The following is a 24,287-nucleotide window of genomic DNA, read 5'->3' on the forward strand; positions in this document are numbered from 1 at the left end:
ACTGCACTAAAATAAACTGTTGTGCTTCAAGAAAGCACAAAAAGTCCATGTGTGGTGGCTCACGCCTGTAATCCCAGCACTTTGGGAGTCCGAGGCGGGCAGATCGTGAGGTCAGGAGATTGAGACCATCCTGGTTAACATGGTGAAACCCTGTCTCGACTAAAATTCAAAAAATTAGCCAGGCGTGGTGGCGGGTGCCTGTAGTCCCAGCTACTCGGGAGGCTGAGGCAGGAGAAGGGTGTGAACCCAGGAGGCGGAGCTTGCAGTGAGCTGAAATCGCTCCACTACACTCCAGCCTGGGCAACAGAGCTCAAAAAAAAAAAAAAAAAAAAAAAAAAAAAGTCTGGGCATGGTGGCTCATGCCTGAAATCCTAATGCTTGGGAGGCCAAGGTGGGAGGATCGCTTGAGCCCTGAGTCCAAGACCAGCATGGGCAACACAGCGAGACCTCATCTCTCTTAAAAAAAAAAAAAAAAATCAAAAGAATTAGCTGAGTGTGGTGGTGTGTTCCTGTAGTCCCAGCTACTGGAGAGGCTGAGGATCGCTTGAGCCCGGGAGTTCAAGGCTAGAGTAAGCCGAGATCACACTGCTGCACTCCAGTTTGGAGAACAGAGCAAGACACTCTATCAAAACAAACAAATGAACAAAAAAACCAGAATGGGAGAATATATTTGCAGATGATATATTTGATAAGAAACCTTTATCCAGAATATGTAACAAACTTACAATACAGCAATTTAAAAAATGTTTAAAACTTGGCAAATGATTTAAATAGACATTTCTCCAAAAAAGATAGACAAGTGGTCAAGAAGCACATGGAAAGATGCTTGACATTACCAGTCATTAGAGAAATGCAAGTCACAACCATAGTTAGATACCATTTCATACTCACTAGGATGGCTATAATCTACAAGAGACAACAACAGGTGTTGACAAGGACGTGAAGAAATTGGAGCCCTCACACTTTGCTAGTGAGATTTTTTTTTCCCCTTGCCCCCAAGATGGAGCCTTGCTCTGTCATCCAAGCTGGAGTGCAGTGGCACGATCGCAGCTCACTGCAACCTCTGCCTTCCGGTTTCAAGCAATTCTTCTGCCTCAGCCTCCCGAGGAGCTGGGATTACAGGCATGTACCACAACACCTGGCTAATTTTTATATTTTTACTAGAGATGGGGTTTCACCATGTTTGCCAGGCTGGTCTTGAATTCCCGACCTTGTGATCCGGCCGCCTCAGCTTCCCAAAGTGCTGGGATTCAGGCGTGAGCCACTGCGCCTGGCCAAGATTTTAATATGATGTGGTCACTTTGGAAAACAAGTTGGCAGTTCCTCAAAATGTTAAACAGTCGTCATATGACCCAGTAATTCTACTCCTAGGTATATTTCCAAGAGAAATGCTCATCTACTGATGAATTGCTAAATAAATGTATTATAGCAACACAATTGAATATTATTTGGCAGTAAAGAGGAATGAAATGCTGACATGTGATACAATGTGGATGAAAATATGCTAAGTGAAGCCAGTCATGTGTGATTTCATTTATAGTAAATAAGCAGAATAGGTAAAACAATAGAAGCAGAAAGTAGATTAGTGGTTGCCAGTGTCTGAGAGAGGGGAGAATGAGGACTAATTGCTGGGTTTCTTTTGGGGGTGATGAAAATGTTCTGAAATTAGATAGTGATGATGGTTGCAAAACTGTTCATATACTAAAAACCACTGAGCTGTACAGTTTAAAAGATGAATTTTATGGTATGTGAATTATATCTCAAACCCGTTATGAATTTTAAACTCCAAAACTATTCCTCAAGGTATTTTGGGCATAAAGATCAAAAGGATTTCAGAGGGTAGAGATACTATTTCTAGATTGGGTAGTAGATTGAGAATTTGTGAATGAGGTGTGTTTGAGCTGAGTGGTTTTTAAGGAAGGTGAACACTTAGATATGTAGCTGTCACCAAAAGGAAGAGTTTTGAGTCACAGAATTCAGCATGAGGCAAGCTCAGGAAATCAAGAATATCTTTGGGAGGGAAGTTGTAGTTCAGCTTAGCAGTTGTACAGAGTCTGTAAAAAAAAATTCAATCCAAAATTTAATTGGAAAGGTGGGTTGGGCCCAGAGCAGAGGGACCTTGGAGTGCAAGGAATTCTCTGCCTTATTTATTATTTATATTTTATTTTTATTTTTTGAGACGGAGTCTTGCTCTGTCACCCAGGCTGGAGTGCAGTGGCACCATCTCGGCTCACTGCAAGCTCCACCTCCCGGGTTCACGCCATTCTCCTGCCTCAGCCTCCCGAGTAGCTGGGACTACAGGTGCCGACTACCACGCCCAGCTAATTTTTTTGTATTTTTAGTAGAGACGGGGTTTCACCGTGTTAGCCAGGATGGTCTTGATCTCCTGACCTCATCATCCGCCCTCCTCGGCCTCCCAAAGTGCTGGGATTACAGGCGTGAGCCACCGCGCCCGGCCTTGTCTGCCGCCTTTTGTCAGCTATAGGGAGTGGGTAAAAAATGACAGGCCTCAGAGCTGTGTATTAGGAAAACTGACAGCTGAGCCTTTGCATTAGCTAGAAGGGAGGGAGCCCACCTGTGGAAGTACCCCCTTAGGAGTCTCTTGCAGTCGGTTGAGAAGAAGGGTTTCCTGTCTTGAATTATCTAAAACTGGAATTATTTTGGTTAAATTGTGGGCCTTCTGATACAAACTTGGTGAATTTGAAAGTCCTCACACACATATTATTCTACTTCATTTTCTGGGAAAATAAATCTGTTTCCTAGTAAAGAACTGTCTGGGCCTGCTGAACGGTGGTGTGTGGACCCTCATTCAACCAATACCGTGCACGGCATCTTCTTTTTCTTCTATTCCTCGCCACCTGTGGTGGTGTTGTTGTTTTTCTTCTCTATTTCCTCTCTCCCTTTCTACCCCAACTGGATCTACTTTCTCCCTGTCCCTCAGCTTTACCTGCCCACCTCCAATGATAAGACAGTATCAGAGAAAATTACCAGTATTTGTGCAACATAAAGTAAGTTTGATGAAAACCATATTAGAGAAAACAGCATGCAGAAACCTTTCCATGAAACATAGATGGACACATGACTTGTAGGCTGTGTTAAAAAACTTTAATGGAAAAATATGCTAAATGTGATGAAGTTCTTTTCTAAGTAAACTTAATATAAAAGTAATTGGGGTATAGAGGAGACTCACTGTGAGTATTCTCAAGCCTGTAACTTCCAGAGCTCGTGAAGATTTCAGCATTCCCATTTGTGACTTGCTATTAAACTCTTTTCTGCTATTTTGATGTCTCCTATTTTGACGTCCTGAATAGCAAACTTATGACCCTGATTATGCCTCAGGTCATGGATTATGAAATGGTTACCACATTCCTGAGATGTTAGGAACTAAAAGGTTGTCATATTTTCATATGTTTATGATGAGGCTATCTAACTTATACCAGTTACCAATTTTTTTTTTTTTTTTTTGAGATGGAGTCTTACTCTGTCACTCAGGCTGGATCTCAGCTCACTGCAACCTCTGCCTCCCAGGATCAAGTGATTCTCCTGCCTCAGCCTCCCGAGGAGCTGGGATTACATGGGTGCACCACCACACCCGGCTAATTATTTTGTATTTTTAGCAGAGGTGGGGGTTTTGCCATGTTGTCCAGGCTGGTCTCAAACTCCTGACCTCAGGTGATCTGCCCGCCTCAGCCTCCCAAAGTGCTAGGAGTACAGACGTGAGCCACTGTGCCCTGCCAAATTTTTAAAATGTCTTTATCAATATGCTATGTGTTTTTTAATGCAATCCGAGATCAAGTGTTTGATAGAAATGATAAATTCGGGCTGGGCGCGGTGGCTCACGCCCGTAACCCCAGCACTTTGGGAGGCTGAGGCAGGCAGGTCACCTGAGGCCAGGAGTTCAAGATCAGCCTGGACAACATGGCAAAACCCCATCTCTACTAAAAATAGAAAAAACTTAGCTGGGTGTGGTGGTGGGCGCCTGTAATTCCAGCTACTCGGGAGGCTGAGGCAGGAGAATCACTTGAACCCAGGAGGCAGAGGTTGCGGTGAGCTGAGATCACACCACTGTACTCCAGCCTGGGCGACAGAGTGAGACTCCATCTCCAAAAAAAAAAAAAAAAAAAAAAAATTGCTGTAGGCATGTTTTTCCAGGTTTGATTTTTTTCCAGAGAGAAGTATGCACAAACAGTTAACACTGTTACAGTGTGAGCATCAGGATGGAGTTATCCAAAACTCAAAAGAAGCCTTTTTCTTTAAATAGTTTGTCAAATTGTTTGTTTTTCGGGGGGTGGGGGATTTGAGGGAGAGGGCATGGTGTTAATAGGATGGCTAAACGGTGGTGGATCGGGTCTTCTGTTCTGTTCAAGTGAGAGTGTTAAAGTTGTGAGAAGACCTAGTGTTGAAGACAAACGCTGTGGTATTCTGAGAGGGAGGGAAGCAGAGAAGCTCAGGCCGGGGGCAGGTTCACATCAGGAGGTCCATTTTTGAGTCTTGGCTCCATTACTTACTGTTTACCTGAGCCAAGTTGCCATTCTTCCTGAGCCTGAGGTTTTTCAACATAAAATGGGGAATTTGAAAGGTCAAATAAATTAATTCATAATATTTGTGTTGTCTGGTTTATTATAAACGTTGAGTCCTATGGAGAGTTTAGAGATGTTACCATTCATATTTTTATGATATATAGAACAGCTTAAAGCTCCCCCTTTGGTGTAAGTATAGTATATACAGGTATAATGTTCTGAATAAATTACTTCAGTTATAGTTTGTGAAACCTGATTATAGCTGATACTCTGGAAATGTAACTCAGTTGTAGTCCAGAATTTTATGCTCAAGGTGGTGCTGTTTCCCCATAAATCTGATGATGTTTTACATTTTATCTCTATCTGTTCCAAATCAAGCAAATAACTGGATATATGTCTAGGGCCATTTCGGCCTTCCACAGTCCCCCAAGCCATCTTTCCTTGTGAGACCCCACCCAAAATCATGTCATAGAAATGTGTATTTACCCCATATTCACTAGAACACATGTGGGAGCTTAAGAGTTGAGTATACCAGTGGACCTGTTCAACATTTTGGAAGACATTTGTTAAAAAATACTTTAGATACTACAGCTTGCTTTTTGTATTTTAGAGTCAGTTTGTTTTTAGGTCAGAAATATTTGAAAAGCTTGTAAGCCCTGGCTCCTAATGGAATAAAGGACCTAATATAGTTCTTCTGCAAACTGATTACGTTACAAGGGAAAATACTCATTTCGAACTTATTTTTGCTCATAATCTCTTTCCGGGCCGCCATATTAATCATTTCCTACTTGTTGTCAGAAACCAGACGTGCATTTCATAGATGTGGTCGTTGTGTGTTTGATGTGAATTGTTTTGTTTTGTTTGTTTTTAGATCCGGGGATTTCTTTCACGGTTTGATAATGTCCTTCCCGTCAGCCTGGCATTTGACAAATGTACAGCTTGTTCTTCCAAAGTAAGTCATTTTGTATTGGAGGGACTTGTTTTTAAAAGTGAGCGGGTCAGCATTTGACCGCAGCCTCACCAGCTGGAGCCCTTGAAACCAACTAAGGGCTTTTTGTGGGGGAAGGGTGGGGTCTAAACCCTCAGAAAGGACTTTGTTTTCATGGATCTGTATTCATTCTCACAGTGGTTTAAAACCAGCCTGAGAAAATGTGTAGGGAGACTGAGTTAAAATATTTCAACTCTGTATCAATACTTGCATCATGCTAATTTTGTCTTGAATTTGAACTTTACTGCTCTTTGTTCCTCCCCAGAGGGTTCCCTCCTAGCCAGGACCCTCATAGAGCAATTTTTTAAAGCGTTACTCTGAGGGTGAGGCGGCCCTGGCTATGCATCTTCTGCAGATCCACATAATTACAAAGAAAAAGTAAACAGAGATTAGGGGCCTGGATGGGGAGCCACTAAAAGGGCCCCTTCAGCTTTGATCTTTCCAGAAGCTCTAAAAATAGAGCTGGTATGTTAGCCATCGTAATGTGAAACGGCTGATATATCTCAAAACTACAGTGATGGCATCTCGTGTTTTAATAGGCTTTCGGATACCATCTGAGTGATTTTTACATGCACACTGTATGTGATAGCTGATTTCCTTTCAAGTGTTCCTTTCAGCCTTCTGCTGCCCAGCGACTTGACCTGGGCTTTTAAGGCTCATGATTGCTGATAAGTAAAGATTTTCATGTTGAAGTGCTATACAAAATAATGTTGGTGACCACTAATCCCCAACTGTGGCTTCTCAGTTACAATTTGGAACTATTTTTCGTGTAGCCTTCGTCTGTCTGCCACTGTGGAAGAAAGAGAATTCTAGGGATGTATTTCTCTATTCTGAGTTGACAAGCTTCCTTTGAAAACTGTACTTGGGCTATATTTTATGGGAAGCACAATCCTGACCAGTTTCTCTAAAAATTGAATGTAGAATTGACAAGCAATGTTGATAAATTTGGTTACGTTTAGATGCTCAAAAATTGAGACTAATTATTTTCTTTTTGCTTCCGAAGTAAACTAAGCCTGTTTTATTATGCATCCCAAGTGCCTATGTTGAGATTTCAAGCTTAGACTTTGTCAGTAGTTACCCATGAGCCCATTCTTTCTGTAGTTTCCTTTAAGATATATCTGCTCAAGCCAGGACCTCAAGGATGTCTGCATGCACCCCCATCTTCAGAAATGCAAGTTTTAGGATTGTATACTACATCTTTAGTGGAGCAGATTTTTTTTTTCTTTGAATGGTTGAGCTAACTGGTCTCAAAATAACTTGGCAGTATTAATTTTCATACTGAAATCATTTGGCACAGGTGCCAGGTTTTCTATGGCTTTATGTTGGTCTGGCTAGTCAATGAAATAAAGATAATTGGGTTCTCTAAGTGAAATGCAAACACTCATTCATTCTTGTTCTATTTCTAATTAAATTAGCCTTTCAGATACTGTTTATAAAAGAATCACAAGCATACCATCTAACTGGGCGTTCCTTATACTTTAAAAGAGAATAGCTTAGCATTTTTCTTTCACACTTATTGTAAGCTTTTAATTAAATATAGGTATCACTTTTTTGTTAGCAAAATTATTTCCTCTTGGTGATCATTTTGAGAGTCCTGCTTTACATAAACATGTTGGACGATTTAATACAAACTGACTTGGATTTTAACAGCTGTGCTATTCCCATAGCGGTCACTTTTCATGTGGTCTGAGTATTAAATTTCTTTTGTCCTGGAAAGGTTGCTTCATTGGTGCACGTATTTCCTTACAGTAGAAACGCAGCATTTACTTACTTGGCTACCTTCTTTATTTGCTTAGGAGATTGTCATTCTCTATTATCTGCAAACCCAACATTAATACTTTAAAATGACAAATCCAATTACATTTTCATTTCTGTGTATTTGAATTTTTCTTAATGTATATTTAGTATAATACATGTTATACAGAGTCATGTCATAGTTGTTGTTTCAAAAGATTGGGGCTAAAAATTACTTTTAAAAATTTATCCTTTGACATTCATGAAGTAATTTTTTCCTTTGGTAGTTTTCAGTATGTTTCCTCCTCCCCACCAGGATCAAGGCCATGCTTGTGTCTTGATTTAACCACAAATAGAGACAGACTGGGGAAGTAGAATAAGTTTCTGCTGAATAGTGAAGCACTTGTTCATTATCTTATTTATTAAAAACAAACAAAGCAATACATTATATACACATATATATAGAGAGAGAGAGTGCGAGCACGCACGCACGCGAGCGAGAGCTTTTTATGTAGCCTGAGGTGGGGAAGAATACAGTGCTTTGCTTCTAAAGCAGGAAAGTTGGAACATTTATCCATAAATCATTTCTTATCCTATGTGATCTTAGGTTGGCACATAACGAGGTGAATTGTTCCATCTTAGGGGAAAAATATTGAAGGATGGTGGGGAGAGGTGGGTGGTGAGGAGTCACTTTCATTCCAGTTTCTACTTATTGTCTTGCAGAACTTTCTAAACAGATGGTATTTGTCAATGAAATTTCAAAAGACCTTATTTGACGTTTATATGAGTTGCTCTTTACTTCTACAAAGAAATTCCAAGCTAACTAGAGTATTGTGGTGTTACTACCAGAGGGAAAAGTATAATTTTTAAAATCAATATTCCTGAAAGAATTTCCTGTAGTGCATTAAATTACTTTGTTATTGTTAGACTTTCACCTAAATATTTTTTGGCAGAGTATTTTTGGGTAACTTTCTATTGATATAATTTTAAGCTTAACAGAAACATTGGAAGAATAGTACAAGGAACTCCGGTATACACTTTACCCACATTCATCCATTGTTAACATTTTGCCCCACGTATATTTGCTGTCGTCCTCCAATCCCTCCTTCTTCCCTTCCCCTACCCCATTTTTTTCTTGAAATTTTGAGAGTAAGTTGGAGACATTCTGATCCTTTAAAACTGAATGCTTCAATGTGAATTCCAAAGAACAAAGACATTCTCTTACCTAAACACAATATCCTTATCAAATTCAGGCAATTTAATGTTTGCACAATACTATTTTCTAATCCACAGTCTGTGTATTCAATGTTGTTGTTTATACCAGTTAATGTTCATTATAGGTTTTTTCCTTCCAGACCAGGATCCAGTTGAGGATCAAACATTGCATTTAGTTGTCGTGTCTCTGGCTCCCTTCAATCTGGAAAAGTTACTTCATCTTTCTTTATCTTTCTTAACTTCAGTGTTTTGATATTTTGCCAGTTATTTTTGTAGAATTTCCCTCCATGTGGATTTGTCTGATGTTTCCCTATGATTCGATTCAGGTTATGAATTTTTGGTGGAAATACCAAAGAAGTGATGCTGTCTCCTCATGTCAGGAGTTATATAATATATTATATACCTTTCGGTGATGCTAGTTTTCCCTTTTCCATATTTCTGACTACCTTCTCCAACAGTGAGAAACCTGCAATCTCGGCTCACTGCAACCTCCGCCTGCCTCCCAGGTTCAAGCGATTCTCCTGCCTCAGCCCCACAAATAGCTGGGACTACAGGCACTTGCCACCATGCCTGGCTAATTTTTTGTATTTTTAGTAGAGACAGGGTTTCACTCCATTGGCCAGGCTGGTCTCTAACTGCTGACCTCGTGATCCGCCCGCCTCAGCCTCCCAAAGTGCTGAGATTACAGGCGTGAGCCACCGCATCCAGCCGTATCCTGGATATATTTACTCACTTGCTGAAGTCTAGAATAATACAGGAAGTAGTTTCAAAATTGCTAGCCCATACTACTACAGAAAATAAACCTAGAACCTTCAGTTCCTATTTGTGCATAGTTCTTTTTTTCCTAGGTAAAATTTATATATGGTGAAATGTATGAATCTTAAAACAACTCCGTAAGTTTTAACAAATGTATACACCCATGTAACCCACACTCTTCCTATCAAGATATTAGTGTTTTTCCATCACTCCAGAAAGTTCCCAGGTACCCTTTCCCAGTCAATTCTGGGGGAAGGGGAAGTATGTTGTATATTATGACTAGTCCTTCTCTAAAAGGAGTAAAGCTAGGCAGCTTCAGGTGTTCTTTGCAATAATAACCTTGTTTCTGGTACCCAGAAGTTGACCAAAACCTTTTTTCAGACCTGCAGAGTCAGGAGCAGGACTGTGCAGGAGGAGACTGCGTGCAGAGTATTCTTGCTCTTGTTGCACAATTCTATTACTCACAACCTTCTTGATAGTGCAAGAACAGCCTGTTGTGAAGAATCAGGCTCCAAACTTGGTTTGCATACCATCTGGGACCTGCGCAGATGCAGCAAGATGTGCCCAGAAACCTGATCTTGAGATTTCAGTGATTAGCAACCTTAATAATACACTCATTCTGGTGTTGACTATGCAATAGGTTCTTCTGTTGATGGGTTATGATTAAACTCCTCAAAGTGACTTGCTATTAGCTTTCTGTGTGTATCTGGGCATATATCTTGAAGAGTGATAGGGTAAGGGTTAGGTAGGAATAATAAATGTCAGCTGGTAAATCGTACTTTGTTTTGGCCTTGGTTATAGCCAGCCTGTCCATTTATTTTTTTGATATTATATAATCCTACCTACCTTCTATCATGTTTTCTTGTTACTTATGAAGCATGAAAGGCTAGGCATGGTGGCTCACACCTGTAATCCCAGCACTTTGTGGGGGCTGAGGTGGGCAGATCACCTGAGCCTAAGAGTTTGAGACCAGCCTGGGTAACATGGTGAAATCCTGCCTCTACAAAGAATACAAAAATTGGCCAGGTGTGGTGGCCTATGCCTGTAGTCCCAGCTACTTGGGGGGCTGAGGTGGGAAGATCCTTGAGCCCAGAGGTTGAGATCATGCCATGGCACTATAGCCTGGGCGACAGAGCAAGACTCTGTCATGCCCATGCCCCAAAACCCCCGCCAGAAAGAAGCATGAAATAACAAAAAGTCAACTTAGCTGCTTAAATAGTGTTTTTGTTTGTTTGTTTGTTTGTTTGTTTGTTTTGGGACGGAGTCTTGCTCACTTGCGAGGCTGGAGTGCAGTGGCGTGATCTCAGCTCATTGCAGCCTCCGCCTCCTGGGTTCAAGTGATTCTCCTGCCTCAGCCTCCTGGGGAGCTGGGACTACAGGCGTGCGCCACCACACCCAGCTAATTTTTGTATTTTCAGTAGAGACGGGGTTTCACCATGTTGGCCAGGTTGGTCTCAATCTCTTGACCTTGTAATCTGCCCACCTCGACCTCCCAAAGTGCTGGGATTACAGGCGTGAGCCACTGCGCTCAGCCAGCTACTTAAATGTTTAAGAGAAACCTCTGTCCCAAAGCAACTTGTCACCTAAGGACTTTGCAAATGCACCACTTAGAAAGGCAAATCATAGATTTGAAAGGAATGGTTAAACTGTTATCTGTTAGCAGACATTCATTTAATTCAACTGACATTTGAGTCCCTGCTGTGTGCCAGAGATACAAAGATGATTACAATAGCCACTGTCTTCAAGGAACACTGCCTAGAGGGTGAGACAGACTCATAAGCCAATAATGATCTGTTCAGTTGTGAAATGCCCTACAGCAAGGTCTGTCCTCTTGTTACGGCATCCCAATACCAATTAATTTTGTAAATGTGGAGGACTAGGGAAGGCCTTGCAGAGGATGACTTCTGAGTTGATGTTAAAGGGTCAAGTAGGAGTTTCTAGAAACACCTAGGGGAGAGAACACAAGGAATTCCAGGCAGTGGAGAATTGCATGTATAATAGCCAGAGACAACAAAACATGGCAGTTATGAAGTTGTTTAGTAGAGCAGTTGTGGCTGAGCCTGGGACACCCAATTTTCTACAAATCGTCCTCTTGTCTTTGTGAGTGCCGTTTTAATTTTGGCCATCCTTGGAGTTGGAATCTGGTATACGTTGTCTAATGCTTAAAGCTGCTGTTTTGAATTTTACAATAACATGTAAAACTCTTGCTCACCTAGCACCGAGCTTTTTAGGGAGTTTCCTAGCCTAAGGAATCCAGCAGCTGCAGCAGGGTGGTGTGGAGGGCAGGAAGTCAGGGGATTTCCAGGGTCCTGGCTCTGCATCCCTTGCTGGACTGCCAAGTGACCACAAGCAAGGTGCTCCCCCACTCTGCCCGCCTTCATTTATTTTCTTCAGTGAGTCAGTTGAATGAGATAAGTTCTGGCTCTCTATTGACACTTTATTAGCTTTTATATTTTATATTTCCTTTATTTCACAAGCAATGGATTTTTAATTGCAGAAAAATCAGAAAATATATTTAAGAAAGAAAATAACCACGATCCAGCCATTTAGATCACTGTTAATTGGTGATGTCAACACTTCTTGACTTAAAATATATATGTATGTATATAGGTATACATAGACATCATTTTTCCCTGAACATTCCTACTATAAGGGATTTATGGTACTATATTGAGGATACTCCCTGCTTCTCAGATTTGATAGGGTTTTAAATCTCAATCATTTACAAGGACTGGCCAGAGCCCAGTCGGAAGAGCTCTCTGCAGCCTGTGCCAGGAATCTTTGCATACAGCTTCTCAGTGGCAAATATTACTCAAAACTGGGCTGCAGCCAGATTTTCCTTCTCCTTTCCAAAAGGGATATAAATCTCTGATTTGGAAAATGATGAGTAACCCCCAGGTTCTCTTTTCCTATCTCATTTACCCAGCAAGGCCTCAAATCTTCTATTTTAATGTATGATGGATTCCATATGTATGATTGTGTGGTATAAAATATATCCCACATCTTGTCCTTAGCAACTAGTGTTTTCTCCAATCTCCAGAACTGCTTGGTTCCCAAAAGGAGATGGAATATACAGCCAGAGCTGGTGAGGAGTATTTAGCTACAAGCCTTAACCTCAGAACTCTTGGCTCTTCACTGCCTTGAAAAACCTTGGACATTTCTCCCTTTGCTTCTATTTCCTCATCCATACAGTGGGGAAAATATTTTCTGTTTCCCAGGGAAATTGCAATGGCTGACGTGTATCCAGTTCCCTGTGGCCAAGTACCAAGGCCTTTGCCCACTCCTGGGACTGGTGTTGACATCAGAAATAAGAAAACAAAGACCCCTGTGATTGCATTAGGTCTCCTGAGATACATGCAGCCTTTTCTGGGCTCACTGTCCACACACAGGTATAATGGGAGGGATTGAATCAGGGATTTGAAGGCCAAGGCTGCCCTGGCTTTGAAAGGCTGCAGAAACCTTCCGTTCATGTCTCTTGACAATGACAGCCAAAACCTTTTCCATGATTCCAGAGAACACGGCCTTGCTTGTTACTTTTGACCTGTGGTTTTTAAGACTACCTAATTAGTAGTTAGAACTTGTGATGATTACTCCTTTCCCTGTCACCTGTGGTCACAAACACATCTAGTTTTCCCAGACAAATTTTTTCTTACAGGATCCCTTTTGCCACTCAGACCAGAAAGTTGAGGGCTGTGTTCTCCTTAGATGGTTCCATTGGCAGCCTGGCCCAAGCATAGTCTTCAGGGTATTGAAAAATTGGGTTCCTTTTAGTTTGGAATTAATCTCATTCACCTCTAGTCTTATCCCCAAGCCTATTCTTAAATTTTTTTGAGTCATGGATTGTGTTCAGACTGATGAAAGCAGTCACCACTGTTCCCCTTAAAAATGCAAAGCCAGCTGGGCGTGGTGGCGCACACCTGTAATCCCAGCACTTTGGGAGGCTGAGGCAGGCGGATCACGAGGTCAGGAGATTGAGACCATCCTGGCTAACACGGTGAAACACTGTCTCTACTAAAAAGGCAAAAAATTAGCCAGGCGTGGTGGCAGGTACCTGTAGTCCCAGCTACTCAGGAGGCTGAGGCAGGAGAATGGTGTGAACCTGGGAGGCAGAGTTTGCAGTGAACCAAGATCACGCCACTGCACTCCAGCCTGAGTGACAGAGCAAAAGAAAAAATGCAAAGCCACACAGTTTTACAGACAATTTCAGAGGCTTCATGAAGTCCCTGAAACATCTCTGTGGATCCTAGTAAAGCACCATTGCTCTATGAGTGTTTCTTTGGTACCATTCCCAAGCTCTCCTAGATGAGACACTAGGATATGAGAGTTGCAACCAGTCCCACCATGGCTGCCCCTATGGCTTTGGGAACTGACCATCTACCTCTGGGGACTCCTTTTCCTCAACTGTAGTAAAGGGAGATGCAGGGGCTGATTTACCACTAGTTTTTGTGTCTCTGAGATTGTGTAGTCTCTTGATCAACTATTTCATTTCTTTAGGCCCAGCTGTATCCAACTGGGTGATGGAGGACGGTACTAACTCTCCTCAGAGTTCAGACGGTTAGTTCTCCCTCTGCTAGCAGGGTGCATTGACTTGACTCCTGATGGGCAAAGGTCCCCAACTAGCCACTGCTCATGTTCCTTCTTTTTTTTTTTTTTTTTAAGGAGTCTTGCTCTGTTGCTCAGGCTGGAGTGCAGTGGCGCTATCTCAGCTCACTGCAAGCTCCGCCTCCCAGGTTCATGCCATTCTCCTGCCTCAGCGTCCCAAGTAGCTGGGACTACAGGTGCCTGCCACCACGCCTGGCTAATTCTTTGTACTTTTAGTAGAGACAGGGTTTCACCGTGTTAGCTAGGATGGTCTGGATCTCCTGACCTCATGATCCACCCACCTCGGCCTCCCAAAGTGCTGGGATTACAGGTGTGAGCCACTGCGCCAGGCCCCTTCTTTCTTTTTTTTATTCATATAGTACATTCATCTTCATCCTCTTGCCTATACCCTCAATAACTTTGTAAGATAGGGAGGGAGGAACATGGACTTGTAACTGCTACCCAGCTGCTGAAACAAGGGAGCCATCAGCTGGAACTGGGAAAGCTTTTATGGACATATATGGTCTTACACACACAGGCTTTATACAATGTATATATCACTACTTAGAGTATTTTAAGTACCTAAATATAGGCCTGGCATGGTGGTTCACACCTGTAATATCAGCACTGTGGGAGGCTGAGGGGGGCAGATCACCTGAGGTCAGGAGTTCAAGACCAGCCTGGCCAACATGGCGAAACCCTGTCTCTACTAAAAATACAAAAATTAGCCACACTTGTAATCCCAGCTACTTGGGAGGCTGAGGCAGAAGAATCTTTGAACCCAGGAGGTGGAGGTTGCAGTGAGTCGAGATGGTGCCACTGTGCTCCAGCCTGGGGAACAGAGAGAGACCCTGTCTCAAAAAAAAAAAAAAAAAAAAAAAAAGATGTGAAAGAACTGTTTGAGAATGTCTTATTCCTGAAGTTACCCTTATGACTTGTTCATATAACATGTTATACTGTATTTATGATAGTGATATGGATATGAACTTAATCATAGTTTTCTAGAGTGTCTGACCTTCTCTAGTTTTATATAATTCTTTCATTATGAAAGTTTTGTTAGTGCTTTTTTTTTTTTTTTTTTTAACACAGAATAAGCTACATGGTTCTCTTCTCTAGAATATCTAATGACTGGTTAAATCACATAGCAAAGTTAGACATCTTGAATTTACAGCCATCATACTAAAACGGGAAAATACCGCCTGTGTGGGCCTTAAGCTACTGCAAGTGTGCCAAATGTGAACAGTCAGTGGGAGAATACACATGAGCAAGTTTTGCAAATTAGAGGAGTCTTCTTGACAGTACACAAGGGTGTATTCAGCAGAGTCTTGAGTAAAGGCAGCATCATTGGAATATATGTGCAGCCTCCCACGAGGACTACTGTGGAGCATGTGTTGAATCGTAATCTGAACTCACCTGTCGTCATAAGTCTTGGCAGCTAAGGTGTCTTTGTAATTGACTCTGGATTCACTGAAGCATTTGGATATTTTAAAGAACTCTATTGACCTTCCAACTTGGGATAGAAATCCATGCAAAAGCATATTTTTGTGTTATGTGCGAAGGCCTGGGAAAAATTTGGATTTCTCTTAGTTCTCAGTTGTACTTTGCATTTTCCTTTCTTTATATGTCAGCTCTTCCACAAAGGACCTTGAAGGGAGAGGGTAACGAAAGTGGGGATTGAGGCAAGTGGTAATTACTCATTGTTGTGTTGAAACCTCCTACGTATCCCAAATGTGGAATGTGAGCTCAACATCGCTCTTTCTTAAAGAAGACTATTTATTTTGTTGCCTGAGTAAAACCTTCCATAAAATTGCTAATAGGCCTATGTACAATATTTTCGTTATTTCAGTTTGACTTGACTGATAAGGAAGATTGATTTTAATCATAAGGCACACAGATTTTTTAAAAAGTGAGTGCAAAATGACTTGCTAATAGACTAATGTCTGAGTAAGAAAACAAAAACATGTGTCTCCCAGCTCTATTGGAGGAGCAAGAGTTTCATTTAACAATATCTGCTGTCTTTGCCTAATCACTCACTAGTTGCTATTTTTGATAATATTCCAATAGGCGCTGAAAGTATACCTGGAAAATGAGACCTATGTCATCCTATCCCACTCAGCAGAAGGACTGCAGTCCCAACAAATGGACCCTTTCACAGTGCTCCCTGGAGGAGACTGTATGTTTCTGTTGGGCTGTGCTAGTTTGATCTGTTCTTCTTGGGAAATTGCTTTTACTCTCACAGTATTTTCCTCATAATAGCCTCAGCAGTGGTAACTTTTTGACCTTTGTGGGTGGGTTTGATTTTTTTTTTTTTCCAGAAAGTAATTTGAAGCTGTGTGTTGTGAATAAAGAGAATGAGCAATTTGCAGGAAATTTTTAAAAAACTGCAAGTTAAAGTACTGCAAGGCTTAAAATGGCACATGGGTGTGAACAAATGAGAACGTTAGAAGGGAATTCAAAAGTATCCTATCTTTTGAGCTAAGAGCTGGCAGGACATTTTGATATGACTAGTGCAGCAGCAGTGAGCACTGGCTTTATCTGCTACCCACTAACCATGTGACCTTGAGCAAGTATCTCAAACTTTGAGCTTCAGTTTCCTCAGGTATGATGTAGTTGCAGTACCATAGCCATGAAGTTGGAATAAGAGCTCGTGTGATGGGTGTCATGTAGTTGGCACTGTCAGTGTTTTCCGTTGATCTTTTGTCTGAACAGAGATCAGGTGCCGTTCCCATTTCCTTTCCTGAATATACTCATTTTTGTCATTTACAGCCATAAAAAACTTTCCATCTTTAGAAGTTGACAAAAAAGGAGGGGAACAAAAAAGGGCCTGGCCTCAAGATGTGAGCAAATACTAATGTGCAAGTTTTTAGATTCTTTTTCTTTTTCTTTCCTTTTCCCTTTTCTTTTCATGACAGCTGTAAATCTAGGAGCTTAATTATTAACCTAAATGAAGCTGAGGTTTAATGTTCCCCGGAGCATGCACTGATGGGGAAGGATGAATTCTCATTTCCTGGAGGCTGAAGATCTGTGCAGGTGTCTGTGGCCAATGTTAAGCCTACGACTTTAGATGAGCTGGCATAAATCTTGGGAGAGTTTTCTTGTCTGTGTTCCCTCTGAATTTCTCTGTGCTGTTAGAGGCAGGGACAGAAGAGAACCAGCATGGCAGTGCTGGGCTCAGGGTGATGCCTGCCTGCCAGCACAGCGGTTCTTGTCCCTGTCCCACATTGCTTCTTGGAAGCCTTTTTACAGCCTCAATCATCTTGCTTTTTCTACCGCAGCTATAAATGGGTTGGAAGCCAGTGCAACATGGGCAGGGAGGACTTGGTTTAATCTTTTCAAGTGCTACAGCATTTCTCTGTTCCTTTGGCATCGTTTTATGGATGTTTTCCCAGTATCCCTTTCCAGTGTCTTATGAATTGGCTAGCAAGAGCGCTTCCCAGTCTATCAGATGGAGAGAGCATTAGGCTCAGAGAAATTACATGAAAGTCCAGGATTTCCAACTTCTTGTTCACTTTTCTACCATATTAATCATCTCTCAGACAGTGATGTGGTAGGATTCATATGCATAGAATTCCATTGTACTTATTGGGGGGGGGGTAATTTCACTTTAAATTTTTAGCAGCTTCGAGGACTTAATTGGTTAGGCTCCTTCAGGCTGTCTTTGGAAATCTTGTCCTTTGAAAAGGGAATGCTGATACCCAGAGGAATGTATTTCTTATGGTCATGTTTCAGACTGTAGCATCTTGAAAGTCATGTGGGCTAGAGCAACTTCTAGGTGTCCTTTAGCACAGATGCAGGCTGGGGGTTGAGAGTTTAAAAGCTTTTTCTCAAACTGTTTATGACAAACATAGTTCATCTCCCATTTTGGTTAATTCTCAGCTTAAGTATTTTAAGAAACATTTGGAGGGCAGGGACATGCAGCTGCTAAGAATCCAAGACAGTGCTGTTTTGAAAATGCAAATATTTCTGGTTTGCATTTACTTGAAGTAGGGTAGCTTTCTCCCATATATTCCCTTGAATACAGATATTCTTTAAATGACATCATTTTGAGTAGAATACAGAGTCCAGGTGGTTTTGGGGAAATCATTAAAAAAACAAACAAAAAAAACAAAACAAAACAAAAAAACAAAAGCTTAGGTATCATTGCATTCTAGGGGCCAAGAAACAGAACGATGGTATTTTTGGCAGGCACCCAGGCCCAGCAAAACCCACACCCCAAGGCTGTCTCTGTAGCTTCCTGTGGTTTTCCCACTGAAGAGAAACAGCCTTTCTCTTGGAGGGCCTGGGATGGCAAATATGTATATCAGCTTGATCAGAATCATAATATTCCGGCTTTGAGGTTATGTCCCAACAGGCTTCATTTAGGAAATTTGATGCACCACAATTGTTGCAAACTGAGCTGAACTGATTTTGTGGCTCCTAATGGTGCAAGTTTTTTGTTTGTTTGGTAGAAACTGGTAACGTCCTATATTAGAAGTTATGCTACCAGGTGATCTGTAACAATAAAGTCAAGTCTCAGACTAAATTTTGCCACAGATAAGAACATTAGCAAGCAGGCACAAAAGTTAGTCATTCAGCATGTTCCTGTGGACTGGGAAAAGCCCCAACCTGTCCTTTGGGTATGTATCTCACGTCAAAGTTTAGGTAGAAACAGATGCAGAAAAATTCTCAATACAGGACACATCTAAACTTTTCATTGGCGCAGGTGATGGAATCCTCTGTTAAGTGTCCAGACCCAGGACCAGAGTGCCACTGCAGAAAGTGTTAGGCTGCCTGGTTTGCCAGATTCTTATAACCCACGTATATATGCAAGGTTAGAGATCCCTGTACAGTATTTCCAGCCAACACATATATATATTGAATTCTATTGTTTTCATCGGAAAAATTATTTCTACCATCCTTTATACTTGTGAGGAAATCCTCTAGTATAGATTTCAAAGCTGTAGCTGATGCTTTTGTAATAGCCACACCTGGGGTATGCACTCCTGATTAGGGTACCTCAGATACTAACTAGCTACCCATAAGAGGAAGGGAGGGAGGGAGGGAGAAAGGGTTTGTGTGTCTTCCCACATACTTGCATGCATTCATACTGTGTATTCAGAAATATTTAAAAATAAATTACAGATAATAGGTATCTCTTTATTTGACCCTGGAAATATTATGTCTTGTATAATGTTGCCAGCCATTCATGAGTGACTTGAAATGTCAACTGACCTTTGGCCTGCCATGGTGTTTTAGTCAGAGCCATTGATGAATGGCTCACCATGGGGCAGAGAAGAGAGAAGAGAATGATAATTTTTGATAGTTTTGTAGGTTTTTTTTTTCTTTTATCTCAGTCTCATTCGGTTGCCCAGGCTGGAGTGCAGAGGTGCGATCTTGGCTCACTGCAACCTCCACCTCCAAGGTTCAAGGGATTCTCGTGCCTCACCCTCGCAAGTAGCTGGGAATACTGGTGCATGCCACCACACCAGGCTAATTGTTGTATATTTTGTAGAGATAGGGATTCGCCATGTTGCCTAGGCTGGTCTCAGACTCCTGAGCTCAAGCAGTCCTCCTCCCTTGGCCTCCCAAAGTGCTGGGATTACAGGCATAAGCCACCATGCCCGGCCAGCTTTGTAGGCTTTTTCAAGCTTTTTTGCATTCTTTCATTTGATATTCTGGTATTGTGGAGATGTTGTATCCCCCACTCAATTTTATACACAAATCGTTGTCCAGGGTCATAGAATGAGTAAATTACAGGAACTATAACTTGAACGAACTCTCATCCTTTATAGTTCCTCTGTACTATAAGGGCAAGTTACTACCAAGAAGAGCTATTACTATTCTTCAAAGAATACCATAGAACTTTTTCACCTTGGGGCAGTTATTGCCAAGGTAAGACCATGTACTAAGGATATATTATATAACAGAATGCTGGGAGATTTCTGTCTTAACTAGTGATAGGACAGGTGATTTAAACCAGCTCTCTTACTGAAGTCACCTTAAGAAACTGGATCAGTTGCTTCTAAAAATCTTCTTAAACATCAAATCACTATTATAAGGAGATTCTGAGTTGAGCTTTGAGAGAGAATGTAAGCACAGAGGAGCAAAGCCGTAGTATTAGGGCAATTTTTTGTTTTATGGCCATTTGCTGATCAGGAAAAGGAAGTTGAGAGCGTGAGCCACACCTTTAGTGTCCTTTCAAGGTGAAGGAGATAAAACTTGTAGTCTGGGTGCTTTCAAGCCTGAGAACCCTTATAAATCATTCTTGACTTTGGGTTGGAACTCTATCAAGAGATACACCTAGGAGTAAGGGTGAAGTGGGTGTAAACCATCCCTCACATTGGCTGTAACAATTTCACATTATTTAAGTGGCCCGGAAACCGTAAGGCTTCCTTGCATTAAGATAATTCTATTTAGCTAATGCCCATAGTTGCCAGGTAAAAGCAATGAAATCTTAGAGGGAAATATGATCCTAGTCCTAAAATTATTTATATAGATAATTTTGCTGTTACAATATCCAGCCACAGAGGTAACCAGGCACACAAGAAGAGAAGGTACCATAAGTGAGAGTTGGCAGAAGCAAAGACAAAAGAAATACAGACATACAGAGATTCTAGATATTGTACTTATTAGACATACACTATGAAATACTATTCTTACAGCATTAAAGGAAGTAAAAGCCCAAATTTTAGTTGTATTGGGGACTGGAAACTCTAAAATACGGCTTTCCAGATTTAAAAAACTGAAATCTAGAACTGAAAATTCAAAAACAAAATGAATAGGTGTATAGGCAATTATATACATCTAAAGAGCAAATTAGTGAAATGGAAAATAGGTTAGAAGAAACTTCAGAGTGAAGCACTGTATACACAAAGATGGAAAATATAAAAAAGGTAGAAGATAGAGTGAGAAAGTCTAACAGTCATAATTGGAAATCTAGAAAAAAAGAAATAATGGTTCTATAGCAACATTGAATGGGATTATAGATAAACTTTTTTTGAAACAAATGAAAAACCTGAAGCCTCAAATCCAAGAAGCCCAACAAATTTATAACAGTACAAATAAAACTAAATCCACACCAAGACCCATCATAATCAAACTTCAGAAAATGGAATATAAAGACATCTTAAAAGCAGTGGGGGATGGGGAAAAGACATTAACTTCTGAAGAATGATGGTCAGGCTTACAGTTGACTTGCAGAGTGTGAGCCACATGACAATGGAAATAACTTCTTTAGTGTGCTGAAGGAAAGAAACGCATCCCACAATTTTAAACCCAGCAGATAATACCGTTCAAGAATGAAAGGGCTGGGTGCAGTGGCTCACGCCTGTAATCCCAGCACTTTGGGAGGCCGAAGCGGGCAGATCACGAGGTCAGGAGATCGAGACCATCCTGGCTAACACGGTGAAACCCCGTCTCTACTAAAAATACAAAAAATTAGCCGGGCGTGGTGGTGGGCGCCTGTAGTCCCAGCTACTCGGGAGGCTGAGGCAGGAGAATGGCGTGAACCGAGGAGGCGGAGCTCGCAGTGAGCGGAGGTCACACCACTATACTCCAGCCTGGGCGACAGAGCGAGACTCTGTCTCAAAAAAAAAAAAAAAAAAAAAAAAAAGGTAGGGGGGGAAGAGTAAAAGTGAAGGTATTAAAGGTATTTTGTATAGACAAGAACAGAGTCCACCACTAGCATGTTTACACAAAAGGACTTTTATTGGGTCTTCTCCAAATAGGAGGAAGGTGATCCAAAACGTTAAATCAGAAGTATAGGAAAAAAAAAAAAGTATAGAAAGTGGTTAAAGATGGGGATAACTCTAGGCCAGGCACAGTGGCTCATGCCTGTAATCCCAGCACTTTTGGAGGCTGAGGCAAGCGCATCACTTGAGGTCAAGAATTTGAGACCAGGCTTGCCAACACAGTGAAACCCCATCTTTACTAAAAATACAAAAATTAGCCAGACGCATGCCTGTAGTTCCAGCTACTTCAGGGGGTTGAGGTGAGAGGATTGCTTGAGCCCAGAAGTTTGAGGCTGTAGTGAGCTATGATTGTGCCCTGTACCCCAGCCTGAGCAACAGAGCGAGACTGTCCCAAAAGAAAAAAAAATGTGGGTAACTCTAAATGAACATTTGAACATTTACTGTATAAGAAAATACAATATTGAGTGGGATATTTTTTAAAAATAGAAATTTAAGGCCGAGGTGGGCGGATCACTCGAAGTCAGGAGTTTGAGACCAGCCTGGCCAACATAGTGAAACCCCACCTCTACAAAAAATACAAACTAAAGTTTAGCCGGGCATGGTGGCAGACACCTGTAATTCCAGCTACTCAGGAGGCTGAAGCAGGAGAATCACTTGAACCTGAGAGGTGAAAGTTGCAGTGAGCCGAGATGGCGCCACCGCACTCCAGCCTGGGCTACAGAGCAAGACTCTGTCTCCAAAAAAAAAAAAAAAGAAAAGAAAAGAAAAGTATTAAAACTTGGAGGAGGTAGGTGATTGGAATTAGTCTGTTCTAAGGTTCTTGCATTGTCTTGGAAGAGGTTAAAGATAGGAATTAATGCTTGACTGAGATAAGTCAAGGATATATGTTATAACTGATAGACTAAACAGTAAACAAATAGAAAAATTGTATAACTTCTGATTAAAAATGAAAAAATTGAAAAAGATGATTTAAAGGAAGAAAAAAACAAGTACAAGATACAAAGCACAAGAAGTCATGGTAAACTGAAACCCACATGTATCAGTAATTACATTAAACATAATTGGTTAAATGCTGGCGGTAGAAAGATTATCAAACCAGATTTTTAAATTTATATGCATTATACAAGCAATATATCTTAAACTTACAGAATGACTGAAAATAAGATATAAGAACATAATATTTTAGTATTGAATTTTCAAAAATCAGTTGAAAATAAACTTAAATACCACAAGAAAGCTGCTGTAGCTATATTAGTATCAGACAAAACAGATTTTAAGGCAAAAAGCATTAATTTGTAATACAATTACTTTATAATAATTGGTTTTAATTCACCAGGTAGAATTTCTAAATTTGTATGTATTTAATAACATGTCTATAAAATATATAAAAAATTTACAAGAACTACCAGAAATAAATGATTTTTCCCCCCTAAGATGGAGTCTTGCTCTGTCACCCAGGCTGGAGTGCAGTGGTACGATCTTGGGTCACTGTAGCCTCCATCTCCCAGGTTCAAATGATTCTCCTGCCTCAGCCTCCGAGTAACTGGGACTACAGGCACATGCCATCTTGCCTGGCTAATTTTTGTATTTTTAGTAGAGATGGGGTTTCACCATGTTGCCCAGGCTGATCTCGAACTCCTGACCTCAAGTGATCCGCCCACCTCGGCCTCCCAGAGTGCTGGGATTACAGGCGTGCACCCACGCCCAGCCCGGAAATAAATGATTTATAATCACAAGTAGAAAATTTTAATGAATCGGCTGGGCGCGGTGGCTCACACCTGTAATCCCGGCACTCTGGGAGCCTGAGGTGGGCGGATCACCTGAGGTCAGGAGTTTGAGATCAGCCTGGCCAGCATGGTGAAACCACATCTCTACTAAAAAATACAAAAATTAGCTGAGCATGGTGGCACATGCCTGTAGTCCCAGCTACTTGGGAGGCTAAGGCAGGAGAATTGCTGGAACCTGGGAGGTGGTGGTTGAAGTGAGTCGAGATCACACCACTGCACTCCAGCCTGGGGGACAGAGCAAGACTCTGTCTCCAAAAAAAAAAAAGGAAAATTTTAATGAATTATTCTCAGTAATTGATGAAAAAAGGATACCAAAAGAAATCGGGAAGGGTTATTGAACTTGGTTAACATGATTAATAAGCATATTCTAGTGAATACATATAGAATACTGCACCTAACTGAAATATAGAATACTGCACCTAATTTGAAAAGAAATACATATTCTTTTCAAGCACACACATAATATTTTACAAGAATTTGCTGGCATAGACGGGATAATTAAACAAGTTTCAACGAATTTCAGAGTGAAATTGTATAGATGTATACTGATTCCACTGTAATTATGCAAGAAATCAGTAATAAACAGATAACTAGAAAATCATCCCCATGTGTTTGGAAATTCAGATACATACTTATAAAACTCATTAATTAAGGATGACATAATGGAAATTAAGAACTATTTTAACTGAATGATTAAAAAAATTATACCAAAATTTGTAGGATATGGAGAAAGCAGTACTTAATAAAAATGTGGCTCATGCCTGTAATCTCAGCACTTTGGGGGGTCAAGGCAGGAGGATGGCTTGAAGCCAAGAGTTTGAGACCAGCCTGTGCAACATAGCAAGACCCCGTCTCTACAGAAAATTAAAAAATTGCCAGGTGTTATGGCACATGCCTGTAGTCCTAGCTACTTGGAGGCTGAGATAGGAGGATTGCTTAAGCCCGGGAGTTTGAGCTTATAGTGAGCTCTGATCATGCCACTGCACTCCAGTGTAGGTGACAGAGTGAGTTTGAGCCCTTGCTAAGAAAAGCCTTA

At 41.1% G+C, this 24,287-nt stretch overlaps 1 protein-coding gene across 38 annotated transcripts in view; it reads left to right on the plus strand.

Moving 5' to 3' along the window:
* Positions 1–24,287, plus strand: part of ATG7 (autophagy related 7) — a 303,957-nt gene that overhangs the window by 102,184 nt on the left and 177,486 nt on the right. For 33 of the 38 annotated variants that reach the window (XR_007095622.1, XR_007095623.1, NM_001349238.2 and 30 more), the window contains one exon: positions 5,392–5,472. The exons of the other annotated variants lie outside the window; for them this stretch is intronic. Coding sequence is in view for 31 of the 33 variants with exons in the window: in NM_001349238.2 (NP_001336167.1) it covers positions 5,392–5,472 (81 nt within the window). In the remaining 2 variants the exon portion in view is untranslated. The remainder of the gene's footprint in view (positions 1–5,391; positions 5,473–24,287) is intronic. 38 annotated transcript variants of the gene reach the window in all.

The sequence above is a fragment of the Homo sapiens genome, chromosome 3 (genome assembly GCF_000001405.40).
Source record: "Homo sapiens chromosome 3, GRCh38.p14 Primary Assembly".
Taxonomy (NCBI): Eukaryota; Metazoa; Chordata; class Mammalia; order Primates; family Hominidae; genus Homo; species Homo sapiens.